The following is a 13,704-nucleotide window of genomic DNA, read 5'->3' on the forward strand; positions in this document are numbered from 1 at the left end:
AGGGTGGTACCTCCAGGGACAGTTGGAGGGTAGCTTTGTGGAGAGAAGGGTTGAGGGATGAGGCTGGAGAGATGATGGAAATAATGGCCACCATTTAAGAAACACTTACTACACACCAGACAGTGTACATACATCATCTCTCACTCAAAACAACCCGGTGGGGTTAGGACAGTTACTATGCATACTTTACAGCTGAGCAAACTAAAACTCAGAGAGGTTAAGTCACTTGACTAAAGCCACCAGCTAGCAATGGTCCAGGATTTGAGCCTGGCTAGGCTGGCTCTAGAGACTGGCCCTACTGGGGACACTGGCTTGCTGTGCCACGCGCAGGGTCTCACTCAGAGATAGCACTGCTGAGCATCTAGAGGGCTTGCAGTTGGAGTGGAGCAAAGGGACACCCCCAGAATCCACTGGCAGTGGCAGGAAGGAAAGCCCCATAGTCCCCGAAACCTCTCTTCTGTCCTGGGTCTGTGGCCCTGTGCTAGATCTTGCATGAGGACATGGAGGAAGAGTGGGCAGACCCAGTGGGTCCAGCGTTAAAGTCCTTATTGCTCATAGCTCCACTTGTCACGTGCTGCACCTCGGAATGAAGCCCTCATGCTGTACCAGTGCTGAGCTTGGCACTGGGGTCTCCAAACAGAAAGAGTCTTCCCAGGCTTCAAGATGGGTCAAGACTTTTCCTCCCCACTCCACCCAGCATGATCTCAGGGGCCCTATTCTGTCACTCATGCCCACCCTGCCTTGTCTGCTCCTGTTTCGTTCTGTAGACAACCCCTAAGCCACCCCAGTTGCTCTCCTGGCTTAACTACCACCTATTTCTATTTCCAGCCTTGACACCCTCCCCTGAATTCTGAGTGTGGGCACTCAGGCACCTGCCAAGGAAGTTACCACGTCAAAGACCCCAAGGTGTCTCAAGCTCAACTCATCAAAATGAACCGATCATGTAACCTCAAACCAGCTTCTACTCTCTTCCTTGACTCAGTGAAAAGCCCCCTTGTCCACCCAAGTCGCCCGAGTCAGACAGCCCTAAGCTACCCTTCTTCTCTCTCAGCCCCAGACCCAGTTGGTAATTCATGTCCAACTGTCTAGTTGACACCTCCACTTTGATGTCCACCAGGGGTCTTCAGCCTACAGGTGCTGCAATCTCCTGATCTCTCCCACCCCAGAGCTGCTCCTCCCAGTCTTGGTGAACAGTAGCTCCATTCTTCTAGTTGCTCAGCTGAACCCCTGGAGTCATTCTTCACTGCTTTCCCTACCATCCTACAAACGGATTCATCCACAATTCCTGTTAGCTCTACTTTCAAAAAATAGCTAGACATACTGAAATATTTACGGTGAAGGGATATGATGTTTTGGACTAGGTTCCACATAATCCAGGGCAATAGGGGGAGGGCGTGGATGGGATAGATATGAAACTAGACTGGCTATGACTAGGTCATTGTTGAGGCTGGGTAATGAGTTCTTGAGTGCATGATAGACTACACTTTGCTGTAATCTCTAATTTTGAATCTGTTTGAGATTTTCCTTAATAAATTATTGTTTGTGTATGCGAATGTATACACATACTCCTATACATGCGTACATATGGAGAGAAAGGGAGGAGAGCAGAGGAAGGGAGAGGAGAGGAGAGGAAAGAAAAAGAGGGGAGAGGATGGGAGGAAAGGGAGGGAAGTGAGAGGGAGAATTCACAGTCTCTTAGACCAGAAGGTCTAAACTGCCATCATCTTTTAGCCTGGATTATTACAAACAGCCTCCTAGCTGGTCTTCCTTCCGTCTCCCTTTCCCATCTAGTCTATTTTCAACACAGCAGCCAGAGTGATCCTGATCAAACGTGTCAGTTTATATCACTCCCCTGTTCAGAACCCTCCAGTGACTTCCATCTTATGCAGATTAAGAGTCAAAGTTCTCCCAGTGGCCTTCCAGAGTCAGCCTATGCTCCCTTGCCTGTCTGAGCACTACTCCTGTCCCTCCACTCCAACCATCCTGGCCGCCTGGCTCATCCTCACACAAGCCAGCCTGCATTGCAGGGCCTTTGCACCTCCTCTGCCCTTTTTCTGCAAGGCTCTTTCCACAGATTTCTGCGTGGTTCTCTCCCTCACTTCCTTCAAGTCTTCGCTTAAATGCTTTCTCTCACTGAGGCCTTCCCTGACCACCCAATTTATAATAGCCCCCCCACTCCAAAACTCCACTCCTGTTTTTTTCCTATATCATTTCTCATTCTCTGGCATGCTATATATTTTGCTTATATCATTTATGGTCTTTCTCCACCCATTAGAATGTCAGCTCCATGAGGACAGGTTTCTGCTTTGTTCACTGCTCTACCACAGGCAGAGAACAGTGCCTGGCACACAGTAGGTGCTTAGCACACCCTTTTAATGAAAGAAAAATGTTCTGTTGATTGGCCTCCTCACACCCATGGAACCTGGGCTCTCCTCTCCTCTGGACCGAACTGCCTTAGCTCAGGCCTTCACCTGAGTGGAGGGGAGCTGCCCCCACCTCCCACCCCCTGCCACCCCAAAACATGCAACTATCCCTCCTTCGCTCCCTGCCTCCTGTCTGGCTCCTCCTCGTACCTTCCATGTGACTAGAAGAAACTTTCTGAAGCACCTTTCTTTTTTTTTTTTCTTGTGGAGACAGAATCTTGCTCTGCCACCCAGGCTAGAGTGCAGTGGCATGATCTTAGCTCACTGCAACCTCCACCTCCCAGGCTCAATCGATTCTCCTGGCTCAGCCTCCCAAGTAGCTGGGACTACAGGTGTGTGCCACCACACCTGGCTAACTTTTGTATTTTTAGTAGAGATGGGGTTTCGCCATGTTGGTCAGGCTGGTCTTGAACTCCTGGCCTCAAGTGATCTGCCCGCCTTGGCCTCCCAGAGTGCTGGGATTACTGGTGTGGGCCATCGCGCCCGGCCTGAAGCACATTTCTGACCATGTCCCATACTCTCCTGCTTTTGAAACTCTCGCAGAAGGGGTCCCAAAGCTAACAATATAAAGTCCATGCTATTCAGCTCTCTATTCAAGGCCTGAGGGGCCCAGCCCACCCTTTCTGTGTTCCCAACAGATTCCTCCTCTTACATGACTATGGCTAAGAGCACTGGCCCTGGCCCAGATGGCCAGGCTGAAGCCAGTTCTATCATTTGCCGGCTGGGTGACTCTGGGCAAGTTACTTCCTTTTAGGTGTCAGCTTTCTCATGTGTAAAATGGGATTATACTAGCACTATCTTCCTTATAGGGTGGTTGTGAGCATCAAATAAAATAATCCATATACAGTACTTTGCCATAATGCTATGACTTAGTACGAGCTCAACAGGCGCTCGCTGGTGATGGCGTCTGTGGGATCAACTGAATTGCTTATACTGATACCTATATGTGTACCTGCCTCTACCTCACTTCCCACCTCCATCCCTATGCTCCATCTCTCTCCAGCCCTTCTTTGTCCGGCTGATCAATTCTGACACAGCACCGTCTGACAGCCGCACCACACTACCATATGGTCACGATACGGTCGGGATATGGTCGCCAATGACTGTCTCCTCATGCTGGCCTGCAACCTGCAGAGGGTGAAACCCTTCCCTGTCCACTGTGTATCATGAGAGCCTGGTGTGGCACCTGACAAGGAGCAGGTGTTCAGGAAGTGTTGAAGCAAAGTCACACTTCCATGGACTAGTGCATGCTTTGGCGGAGATGGACTCCAGACACACACGGGTGCTGATGAAGGTCACCTCCATGCCCATGCCCACATCCCATCACGTCCACATTTCAATCCTCTGCCCAGCACTCCCCACCGTCTAGTATGTTCCTTGTTTATTTGTGTGTGCTTTGATCATCTGTCCCCCTACTTGCCCCTGCACGAAAATTTGAGCTCCATGAGGACAGTGATTTTGTCTGGCTTGTTCTTTGCTGTCTCCCCAGAGCCAAGGACAGAGCCTGATGCATATTAGGAGCTCTATAAATATTTGTCGAATGGATGAAAAGACGGGGAGACTGGGAGGCTACTTCTTTAAATATGGCAGCCAGGCTGAGGTCTGGGTAACCATAAAGAGCCGAGGTTGCAGAAGGAACAAAAAGAGCATTCTAAGGAGAGAGAATGGTGCAGCCTTGGGCTTGGAGCATCTGGGGAGCAGCGAGGGGGCCAGCACAGCCTGCGAGGGGAAGGAAGGGTCTGGTTGAAATGGGAGGGTGGACACCGAGAGGAGATTGCAGTTGTCCAGGGGGCAACCTGCTGGTGTTTCCAGCCCCTGGGGCTGAGCTGGGGGAGGGAGCCCTCTGTTCCCAGCCCCCTGACACAGAATCTCCAGGCACTGCCTGGAAGCAGCAGCAAGGATTGAAGGCTGAACCACAGAAAAATAAGAGCTAATCCTTATTGAGCTCTTACTGTGCTAGGCACTGTTCTAAGTGCTTTACAATTACTATCTCATTTGAGCCTCCCCACAGCCCTACAAAGAAGGGACTCCAGGAATCCCCAGGGCAGCCTTAATTTGCCCGAGGGCATAAAGCTGGTGAGGAGCCGGTCAGGGTTACAGACAGACGGTCTAGCTCTGTTGGTAAGCATTAAGCATGCTACACCCTCTCTGAAGCAGAGATGGGAAGGAATTTTGAGTCCAACCTCTCATTGTATGGATGGGAAAACTGAGGCTCAAGGAGGACAGGAGGACACCTTTGGCCAAGGGGACAGAGGGAGTTAAGGAGAGTGGCTCCCAGGCCAGGGATCTGGCATCCTCTACCCTTCTGGCACCTAGCTGGTGCCCAGCCAACTCAAAACAGGGAGAGGGGTCCCTTGCTCCTGACTCTGGGCCATATCAGCACCATGGCCATCTTACCTTGGAGGGGCTGGGGAGCAAGGGGACTCCTAAGGGGCTTGGTGGTTTTGAGGCAAGGTGGGCCAGCCTGTCCTGGGTCCTCTGCTCTATGAGGCTCTCCCTCCAGCTTCTATCTCTTCCCTCTTCTCTGTTCCTGCCCTCCTTCCCTATCCTCCTCCCCCTCTTCCTGCTCCTCCCAGCCCTGGGCAGTGGGAATTCATAAATATTTAATGGCCTTTCACATCAGGAAGCAGTGAGGACGCAGCTACCTCAGCAGTGAGGAAAACAGGCAGGGGTTGGTGTGGGGAGTAGAGGGTAGGGAGGTTGGGGAGTAGGGGCAGAAAAGCCCAGGGAAGGGAGAGCTCGTTTCCGTCAGGCCTGGGCTTAAGTCAGGCCTGAGTAGGGACAGACACTGAGATTGAGGCCCTGAGGCAGTTCAAGGCTAGGGGAGCTGGAGGAGACTGGGATGGGAAGCAGCAGTTCCTGGCATGACCAGGGGAGAGAGGGAAGAAGGGAGAGATGAGGAGAAGCTGGGGACCCTCTGGCATAGGAGCCCCTCGAGGAGCAGGCCGCTCTCACCCTCTCCCTCATTCCTCCAAGTTCCTTTGCTCAGGACTCCTCCTGACTCCTCCACCGGAATCCCGCTGGGAAACCGGCTTTCCGCCCCAGTGCATGCTGGGAACTCTGCCCAGCTGGGGTGGTTTCTTTCTCCAGTCCACACAAGAGAAGATTGCAGGGGGTAAATGATGGTACCGTGGTGTGTGCATGCACCCCAGTGTGTACTGAGGACGTGGGCGTGCAGGCCAGCATGAGGGGGCCAGCCTGGGGGTATTGAGGCTGTGTATGTTATGCATTTGATTTCAGCACACATCCAAGCAGGGTGAGGTCCCTTGCACTTATTTATGTGACTTGGAGGTAACGTGTGTCATCTGGGCTGGAGTTTACAGATGTATAGGATAGTCACTAAGAGCAGGAAGTCTGGCAGTTTGGGGTTCTAGTCCCAGCCCTGCCACTAACTTGCAATGTGATCTTGAAAGCAAGTCACTTCAGCCCTCTGTACCCTACACTCCTGGTCTGTAAACTGGGCTTACATTATTGTAAGGGTTAACTAATACAGTGCATGTGAGATGGGGGTGCTTAACCTAGTATCTGGCATAAGAGAAGCACTTAATAAATGGAGACCCTTATTGTTATAACTGGTGTGTCCACTAAGATAGTGGTGACAAAGGGTCAGGCCACAATACCTGCACGCGTGCACGCGCGCGCGCACACACACACACACACACACACACACACACACACACTCTGAAGCTGCCAAGAAGCACCCTATCCCCTTCAATGCCTGGTGGCCCAGGAAGGAAGTACTCTATGGCTGTGTCTATTGGCTAGAGATAGAGCCACACAGAACTTACCAAAAACTTCATCCACGGGTTCTCGGAGCTTTGAAGAAGCCATGACTCAAGAGAGCTGGGAAGGACAAGAGGGGAGAGAAAGAAAAAGAGAGCCTGGGTTAGAGATTCAGGCTGACCGAGGCAGAAGAGATGTGGAAGGCTACCTGCTCCAGGCCTGTTGGCCCCTCCCCTTACCTTAGAACCCTTCTTCTGTCCCCTGGAAGAGAAGCCACTGGAATCATAACCCAGATGGTGGGCGCCGGGGCAGGCAGTATAGTAGGAGGGTGGGGGCAGACGCAAAACCAAGGCACAGACACAGGCTGAGCCCTGTGGTCCTGGTATCCTGGTCCACTGATTTGCTGTGTGCCTTCACGTGGGTCACTGAACTTCTCCCCTTCACTGTCTTGGGCCTTCGCATCATTAGCATCCCCTAAAAGCTTTCAATCATCAACTGTCCAATCAAATCTGGGAGAAGTCATGGAGATTATTAAATCCAATCCTCTCATGTTACAAATGAAGAAACAGAAGGGGGAGTGATTGGCCCAAGATCACATAGCAAGTTAATGGCAAAATCAGGACCAGGACCCAGGTTCTACCATCCGTCTACCCACCTATGCACTCATCCACCTATCTACTTGCCTACTCATCATCCATTCACTCACCCATCTATCCACCCATCCGTCCATCCCACATCTGCTCCCATGCACCCAACACCTGCCGCCATCTGTCCATCCACCTATCTTTGCATCCATCAATTCTCCATCTCTTTTCCAATCCTGCCTCCCCCTTCCCTACACCCCCATCACTGGTGCCCTCACCACCTGCCTTTCTGAACAAGAGCTGTTCAGGAAGCTGGCACCATCAGCAGGGCCACTGTTCCAGACACAGTTCTCACAGTTCTTGACAGACTCATAGATGTAGGAGGGTACGAGGAATACACACAGCACACAATGGACAGCCAAACCTCTATGATGCAACTATGTTCTGGGAAGAAGTGTGAATGGGTAGGGTTTTTTTTGTTTTGGTTCAAGGTTTTTTGGTGGGAAGCAAGAAGGGAGGGCAGATAGGGAAGGATATATATAGCTGAAACCATTTGAATAGGCTTTCAAGCAGATGTAGGATTCCAGTAGCCCTAGGGAGCCCACTGGCCAGGGGATACTGGCTGGGGGGAGAGTGAGGAAGCCCAGGGGCCATTGATGGTTTAAGGCAAGGGGACGCTGCATGGCTGAGACATGACCTCCAATTACTTCTAACACTCAGGTCCCCAGGAGAATGGCAAGGCACTGAGCTAGATCATACATGTGTCAGATGTAGGAAGGCTAGGCCACATGCCTGCTGGGGTCTTTTCCAACTCTTCTTTTCTGTTATTACATAGACATCATCTACCTTTACTGTGGCCAGCCTTGGGAATTTTTTTTTTTTTTTTTGAGACGGAGTCTCACTCTGTCACCCAGGCTGGAGTGCAGTGGCGCTATCTTGGCTCACTGCAAGCTCTGCCTCCCGGGTCCACGCCATTCTCCTGCCTCAGCCTCCCGAGTAGCTGGGACTACAGTCGCCCACCACCACGCCTGGCTAATTTTTTTGTATTTTTAGTAGAGACAGGGTTTCACCATGTTAGCCAGGATGGTCTTGATCTCCTGACCTCGTGATCCACCCGCCTCGGCCTCCCAAAGTGTTGGGATTACAGGCGTGAGCCACCGCGCCTGGCCTGGGAATTTTCATATCCCCACTTTACAGATACATATCGCCACTTTACAGATGTGAAAACTGAGAAACAGGAGATGAGAGGAAGCCAGGCAAAGTTGGTGCATGCTTATAATCCTAGCTACTCAGGAGACTGAGGTGGGAGGATCACTTGAGCCCAGGAATTCTAGACCAGCCTGGGCAACATAGTGAGACCCTCATCTCAAAAATAAGTAAGTAGCTGGGCGTGATAGCTCACGCCTGTAATCCCAGCACTTTGGGAGGCCGAGGCGGGCAGATCACCTGAGGTCAGGAGTTTGAGACCAACCTGGCCAACATGGTGAAACCCCGTCTCTACTAAAAACACAAAAATTAGTTGGGTGTGGTGGTGCACACCTGTAATCCCAGCTACTCAGGAGGCTGAGGCAGGAGAATCACTTGAACCTGAGAGGTGGAGGTTGCAGTGAGCCGACATCATGCCATTGCACTCCAGCCTGGGTGACAAGAGGGAGACTCCATCTCAAAAAAAAAAAAATTAAGTAAATAAGTAAATAAATAAATAAAAGCAATAATAATAATAATAATAAAAGAGGCAGAACTCAGCCTTGAGCCAGGGCTCCTGCCCCTCTGCGCTATCCTAGGTGATGATCTTCAGTTTAGGGGTGGAGGAAGAGATAAGCATAGAGGGAGGGAAGCTGCTCCACACTGACCAGGACTGGGAGAAGCATCAAAACCACCTCTAGGCTGGGCGCAGTGCCTCACGCCTGTAATCCCAGCACTTTGGGAGGCCGAGGCGGGCAGATCACCTGAGGTCGGGAGTTTGAGACCAGCCTGACCAACATGGAAAAAACTGTCTCTACTAAAAATACAAAATTAGCCGGGTGTGGTGGCACATTCCTGTAATCCCAGCTACTCGGGAGACAGAGGCAGGAGAATCGCTTGAAGCTGGGAGCCGGAGGTTGCAGTGAGCCGAGATCGTGCCATTGCACTCCAGCCTGGGCAACAAGCGCAAAACTCTGTCTCAAAAAAAAAAACAAAAAACAAAACCACCTCCAGATTCCATAAATGCCTGGGGCTGAAAGCAGAAAATGAGGTGTGGGAAGGGGTCATCAGGGAAGCAGACTCTCCGAGAACCCTCCTGCCATTCTTGAACTCCAGGGGCTACTAGCAAAGATCTAGAACATTTCTTCCTGTCCTGACAGGCCAGATGGGAAGGAAGGCTGACCCTAAGAATTAACCACATTTCCTGATTCAACCACAAAGCCTTATCTGGCTAGGACCCAGCTGCCACCTCCTTCAGGAAGCTGTCCTAGGTAGCCCTCCCTCCTCTCATTTGTCTTCGTAATTTCTAAATCCACCCTTCTCCAACTACTGGGAAATGGGGAATTCTTCATACTTCACTGATTCCTTAAATAGGTCTCATCTCCCCCCCACCAATCAGATGGGAGCCCAGAGAAGAAAGGGTCCACGTATTCTTCCGTCAGACTAGGGACTGTGAAGACAGGAACTGCCTCTCCCATCAGAATGGAGGCTCTCTGAGGGCAGTAGTGTTGTCTCCTTTCTGCCTCTGAGAATGAAGATCCTGTGTTCTTTATTCAAGAGCCCATTCCAGGGTCGAGATCCTCTGCTGGCTGGAGTCCTCCTCTTCCAGGCACCCTCTGGGCTGGATTGGGGTTTCCTGCTCAAAGCCATTCTCGGTCCATCCTGATTCAGCACAAACTGCTCTCTTTTCTTCCCTTCAACAACTAACTTTCTGGGGTGTGTAGGGGGACCCTCCCTACATTGTGTCCAGGGGGTCACCAGACCCCTCCCACCCAACCCTCTCCTTCCAAAACTGAGCCTAGAAAAATTAGACACCAAACCCGCCCCCACTCTCACTCCCACACACACCCCGCACACTCTCTCACACACACACACACACACACACACACACACCCCCATTCAGCCAGGTAACTGCACAAGGGTGGGATTGAACCGGTTCCTCTGGATACCCTTCCCCCCAAGGCTTCCAATCCTGGAGAAGGAGCACCAATGACCTTTGACCCTTCTCTGGGAGAAAGGGAGGCAGGTGAGCTCACAGCCTCTTGGGACCCAGGAGAAGGAGAAAGGAAGAAAGGGCGCACAATTCCTGGGGAGGGAGCGGGAGCGGGAGCGGAAGGAAGTGAGGAGTAGGAAGAAGCAGAGACAGACACACAAACTGGCGGAGAGTCCACAGGGCTGCTGAGAAGAAAGAGATCACACCGAGAGTGGGGCCACGGGAACTGGCACTGGGAACAAGGGCTTCCGCCGCTCTAAGTGACGCCCGAGGGTGGGAGAGAAGGGAGAAGCCCTTCGGGCAGGCGATAGGAAAGGGCCCCTGAAGAGGAGAAAGCGACAGAGAGAAGTGCAACTGGGAGAGGCCGGGAAGAGGTGGATGGGAAAGGAGACTAGCGGTCGGGGAGGCAGTTGTGGAGCCAGAGAGGTGGTCCCCCCTTCCCATATCGCCGGCCGTCCACTGGCCCCAGGCTTGGGGTAGTCCTCAGGAGTCGGGCACCCCCTCAAAGCACTGTTGGAGATGGGGTGAGGTTGGGGACAGGGCACCTACTCCACTCTCAGAGCCCTTCTCCCCAGTCAGAGCCCGGTGGCTAGTTTCTCTCCAAACCATCAGCACAACTCCCCGCCGGGCAAGAAAGAGTTAAGCCCTCTCCCCCTCCCCCCACACCAGCTTTTTATTAATTTCTCCGGGCGTCGGGCGGGAGGGAGGGGATTAGGGCCATAAATCCTATCTCCGCCCCCTCCCCTGACAGCCCGGCACCCCAGCCCCGTGCGGTCCCCCTAGGGATAGGGGAAGAAAGGCCCTTGTCGCTTAGCCCTGCCCAACCCCACTCAGGGTCCCACCGCGGGCCCGAGTGGCCCTAGCCCCAGTTCCCGGTCCACCCCAGGGCGCCCGGCCCCTCACCTCCGGCATCGGTCATCTTCAGCGTCTGGCGCCCCGGGAACCCCTCAGGCCCATGGTGCTCGAGGCGGGGGCCGGGCAGGAGAGGGGTGGGGGGACCGTCACCCCGGCCGCGGGGGGCTCCGGGCGGGCTCGAGCCGCTCCATCCCGGGGGTGGGGGTGAGGTCGGCGGGAAGGGTCCCAGAGCCGGGGGAGATGGAGGGCGGGGGATGTGGGGAGAGGGAACAGGTTCGCTGGAAGCAGGAGGCGCGGGCGGGGCTGGACCAGGAGACCTGACGGGAGGATGCTCCGTGTGTGTGTGCGTGTGCGTGTGCGTGTGTGTGTGTGTGACAGAGAGAGAGAGAGAGAGAAGAGCGAAGAGCGAGCGCCACCTCCCTCCCCGCCCCTGCCGCCCGCCAGGCCTGGCCGGACGCGGGGCCCCCGCCTGGCAGGGCCGATTCGCGCGGCGTCGCGTCGGCAGGGGTCCGCGGGGGTCTCCGGGGAAGGGGCGTCGGGGTGGGGGGCGCGTGGCGGAGAAGCCGGGCGCCCAGGAGACAAAGAGCGGGAGGGAGCGAGGGGGCGGGGGCGGGGGAGGGCGGCGGGGAGGAGGCGGCTGGGGCCGGGGAGCGGAGTTGCAGCTACTTCTCTGCCCGCGGGAGACGCGGCGCACCGGAGTCTGCGCGGGTGGGAGCGGCTCCGGGGCGGTCCCGCCACGGGACCCACGGGGCTTCCGCCTCCTCTGCCGGGTCCATCAGGGCTCCCGATTAGTTCATTCATTCAACAAACGTCCGCCGAGCAGCCGGGGCGCCGAGGCTGGAGGGGACAGCGGTGAACAGAACCCCCGCCCCCTAACTGCGCTCAAGGCCAGTGGGCCAGTCGGGGGCTCAGACGAGTGGGGAGGCCCTCACGAGCCTGGGCGCCATGGGCCCAGCTAACAGAGGGCACTTCTTGCCGGAAGGGAGAGCGCACCCCTGGCCCGGCCTGGGTCCAGGCGGCCGCGGCGGGAGCTGGGCTGGGGGATTCCCAGAGGATGTGATGTGTTGGCTACAACTGCGGGCCAGGGTAGGGAAGTGCCAGGGGGTGTTGGGGGTGGGAGGGCAAGAGGGGAAGATAAATTGAAGCTGGGGAGGTGCAGGGGGCTTGCACTTTATTCTACCAGCCGCCCACCCCGCCGCCCACACACACACACACACACACACACACACGCGCGCGCGCGCACACACACAAAATTAAGAGGAGGGAGGGGCTCAGGTGTGCATTTAGGAAGCACCCTTGGCTCCCCTGGAGACAGGGTTACAGAGGGCACTCTGAAGGCAGGGAGACCCGCTGGAGGCTATTGAGGGCCGGTGGCAGTGGGCATAAAGATTACAGATTAAGCTGAGAGCCCTTCAGGATGCAGGCCTGAAGAAGCTGACACCGAAGAAGCTGACAGGATTTGGGGACCTGCTGGACTAGGAGGTGAGGGAGGAGGGGTCTAGGATGGCTGTGGACCTTGGCTTGAGGCAGGAAGCCCTGGAGCAGGTGGGGGTGGGGACGGATGAGATCAGACTTGGACCCAGTGCGCTGATGGTAGTGGCAGGCCAGCCAGGGAGGCAATGTAGGGATCCACAACCAGCTACCGCACGTCACAGCTTGGCAGGTGCCAGGCGCTCTCAGATCATCTATTGTCACCCTCACAATAAACCCACAAGGTGGGTGTTTCCATTACCCACTGCCTCAGAGAAAACAGAGACTTAGAAGAAGGAAAGTGCTTTGCTCAAGAGCAAGTGGTGAAAGGCCAGGCGCAGTGGCTCACGACTGTAATCCCAGCACTTTGGGAGGCCAAGGTGGGTGGATTACATGAGGTCAGGAGTTCGAGACCAGCCTGGCCAACATGGTGAAACCCTTGTCTCTACTAAAAATACAAAAATTAGTCAGGCATGGTGGCGCTACTCTGGAGGCTGAGGCATGAGAATTGCTTGAACCTGGGAGGTGGAGGTTGGAGTGAGCTGAGATTGTGCCACTGCCTTTCAGCCTGGCCAACAGAGTGAAACTCAAATCTCAAAAAAAAAAAAAAAAAAAAAAAAAAAAAAAAAAAAAAAAGGCAAGTGGTGAAGCTGGATCAGGGGTCTAGAGTCAGAGGAGAGGTGTGGAGTCTATAGGACAGAGTTCCCTGATGGCCCACAGGACTCTGCAGTCCGAGGCCTCCGGGAAGTGGCCTGTTGAACCAGGACAATCTTGTGACTATGAGTGAGGACAGAATTAACAGCCTTTAGGGTCTGAGGGTATCCTAGGGGATTTATAGGAGTTTGGGGGTCTCTGGGTGTCTTCAGAATCTTCTGGCAGCCATGAGGCTAGATTGTGGAAATCTGGGGAAGGGGTGGGGTTTCTGTTGACAGCTGTGGGGGCTGCATCTGGCTGTCTTAAAGGGGTTGTGCTTTGTAGGCATCTGGTGAGATCTGAGTGGTGGGCTGTAGTGGGGGGCTTGATTATATAGACCCTGTACATCCCAAGGGGGTGGGGAGATGATGGGTATGTTTGCCAGGCCATAGGACCCAGGAGGAGCCCCTGTTCCCCTATTCCTAGTGAGGCCTAAGCTTCTGAGGGTTGGCAATAAGTTGCCTTATTGGCAAGTGTTGGCAAACCTACTCAAGCTTCCAAAATTGGGCAAGTGAGTGGGGGGATAAGGAGGGTTTAAGGTGACAGGCCCACTTACAGCTACTTGACAAAGTCCCAAACATGGACATACTGTGTATCATGGGCAAGTCACAGCTCAGGCTTGAGAAACTCACAGCAAAGCCACACACACCTCCAGGCACACAACACACTTGGGCTTAAATGTGAGGGGTTACTTGGCCCACTGTTTGAAACATACTATGTATAGGCCCCTCACCTAACACACAGGACAGACGGGGAGTGGGGGAGGGACAGAGGGACC

General features: G+C 54.1%; 1 protein-coding gene across 3 annotated transcripts in view, besides 2 other annotated features; it reads right to left on the minus strand.

Moving 5' to 3' along the window:
* Window positions 1-11,455, minus strand: part of SAMD14 (sterile alpha motif domain containing 14) — a 20,121-nt gene extending 8,666 nt beyond the window's left edge. For 2 of the 3 annotated variants that reach the window (NM_001257359.2, NM_174920.4), the window contains exons 1-2: window positions 10,812-11,455; window positions 6,212-6,266 (exon numbers count right to left, since the gene is read on the minus strand). In NM_001257359.2, coding sequence (NP_001244288.1) covers window positions 6,212-6,254 — 43 coding nt within the window. In that variant the 5' untranslated portion in view covers window positions 6,255-6,266; window positions 10,812-11,455. Of the gene's footprint in view, window positions 1-5,378; window positions 5,686-6,211; window positions 6,267-10,811 lie in introns of those variants that run through there. The other variant, XM_017024322.3, reaches the window with a different exon arrangement.
* Window positions 11,171-11,230: a silencer, noted in NCBI's record as "silent region_8681". NCBI's record gives its function as "represses an Ori minimal core promoter by ATAC-STARR-seq in GM12878 lymphoblastoid cells {active_cell/tissue: GM12878}" and the evidence as "EXISTENCE:reporter gene assay evidence [ECO:0000049][PMID:35858748]".
* Window positions 11,471-11,550: a silencer, noted in NCBI's record as "silent region_8682". NCBI's record gives its function as "represses an Ori minimal core promoter by ATAC-STARR-seq in GM12878 lymphoblastoid cells {active_cell/tissue: GM12878}" and the evidence as "EXISTENCE:reporter gene assay evidence [ECO:0000049][PMID:35858748]".

Source organism: Homo sapiens, chromosome 17 (assembly GCF_000001405.40).
Source record: "Homo sapiens chromosome 17, GRCh38.p14 Primary Assembly".
Classification (NCBI taxonomy): domain Eukaryota; kingdom Metazoa; phylum Chordata; class Mammalia; order Primates; family Hominidae; genus Homo; species Homo sapiens.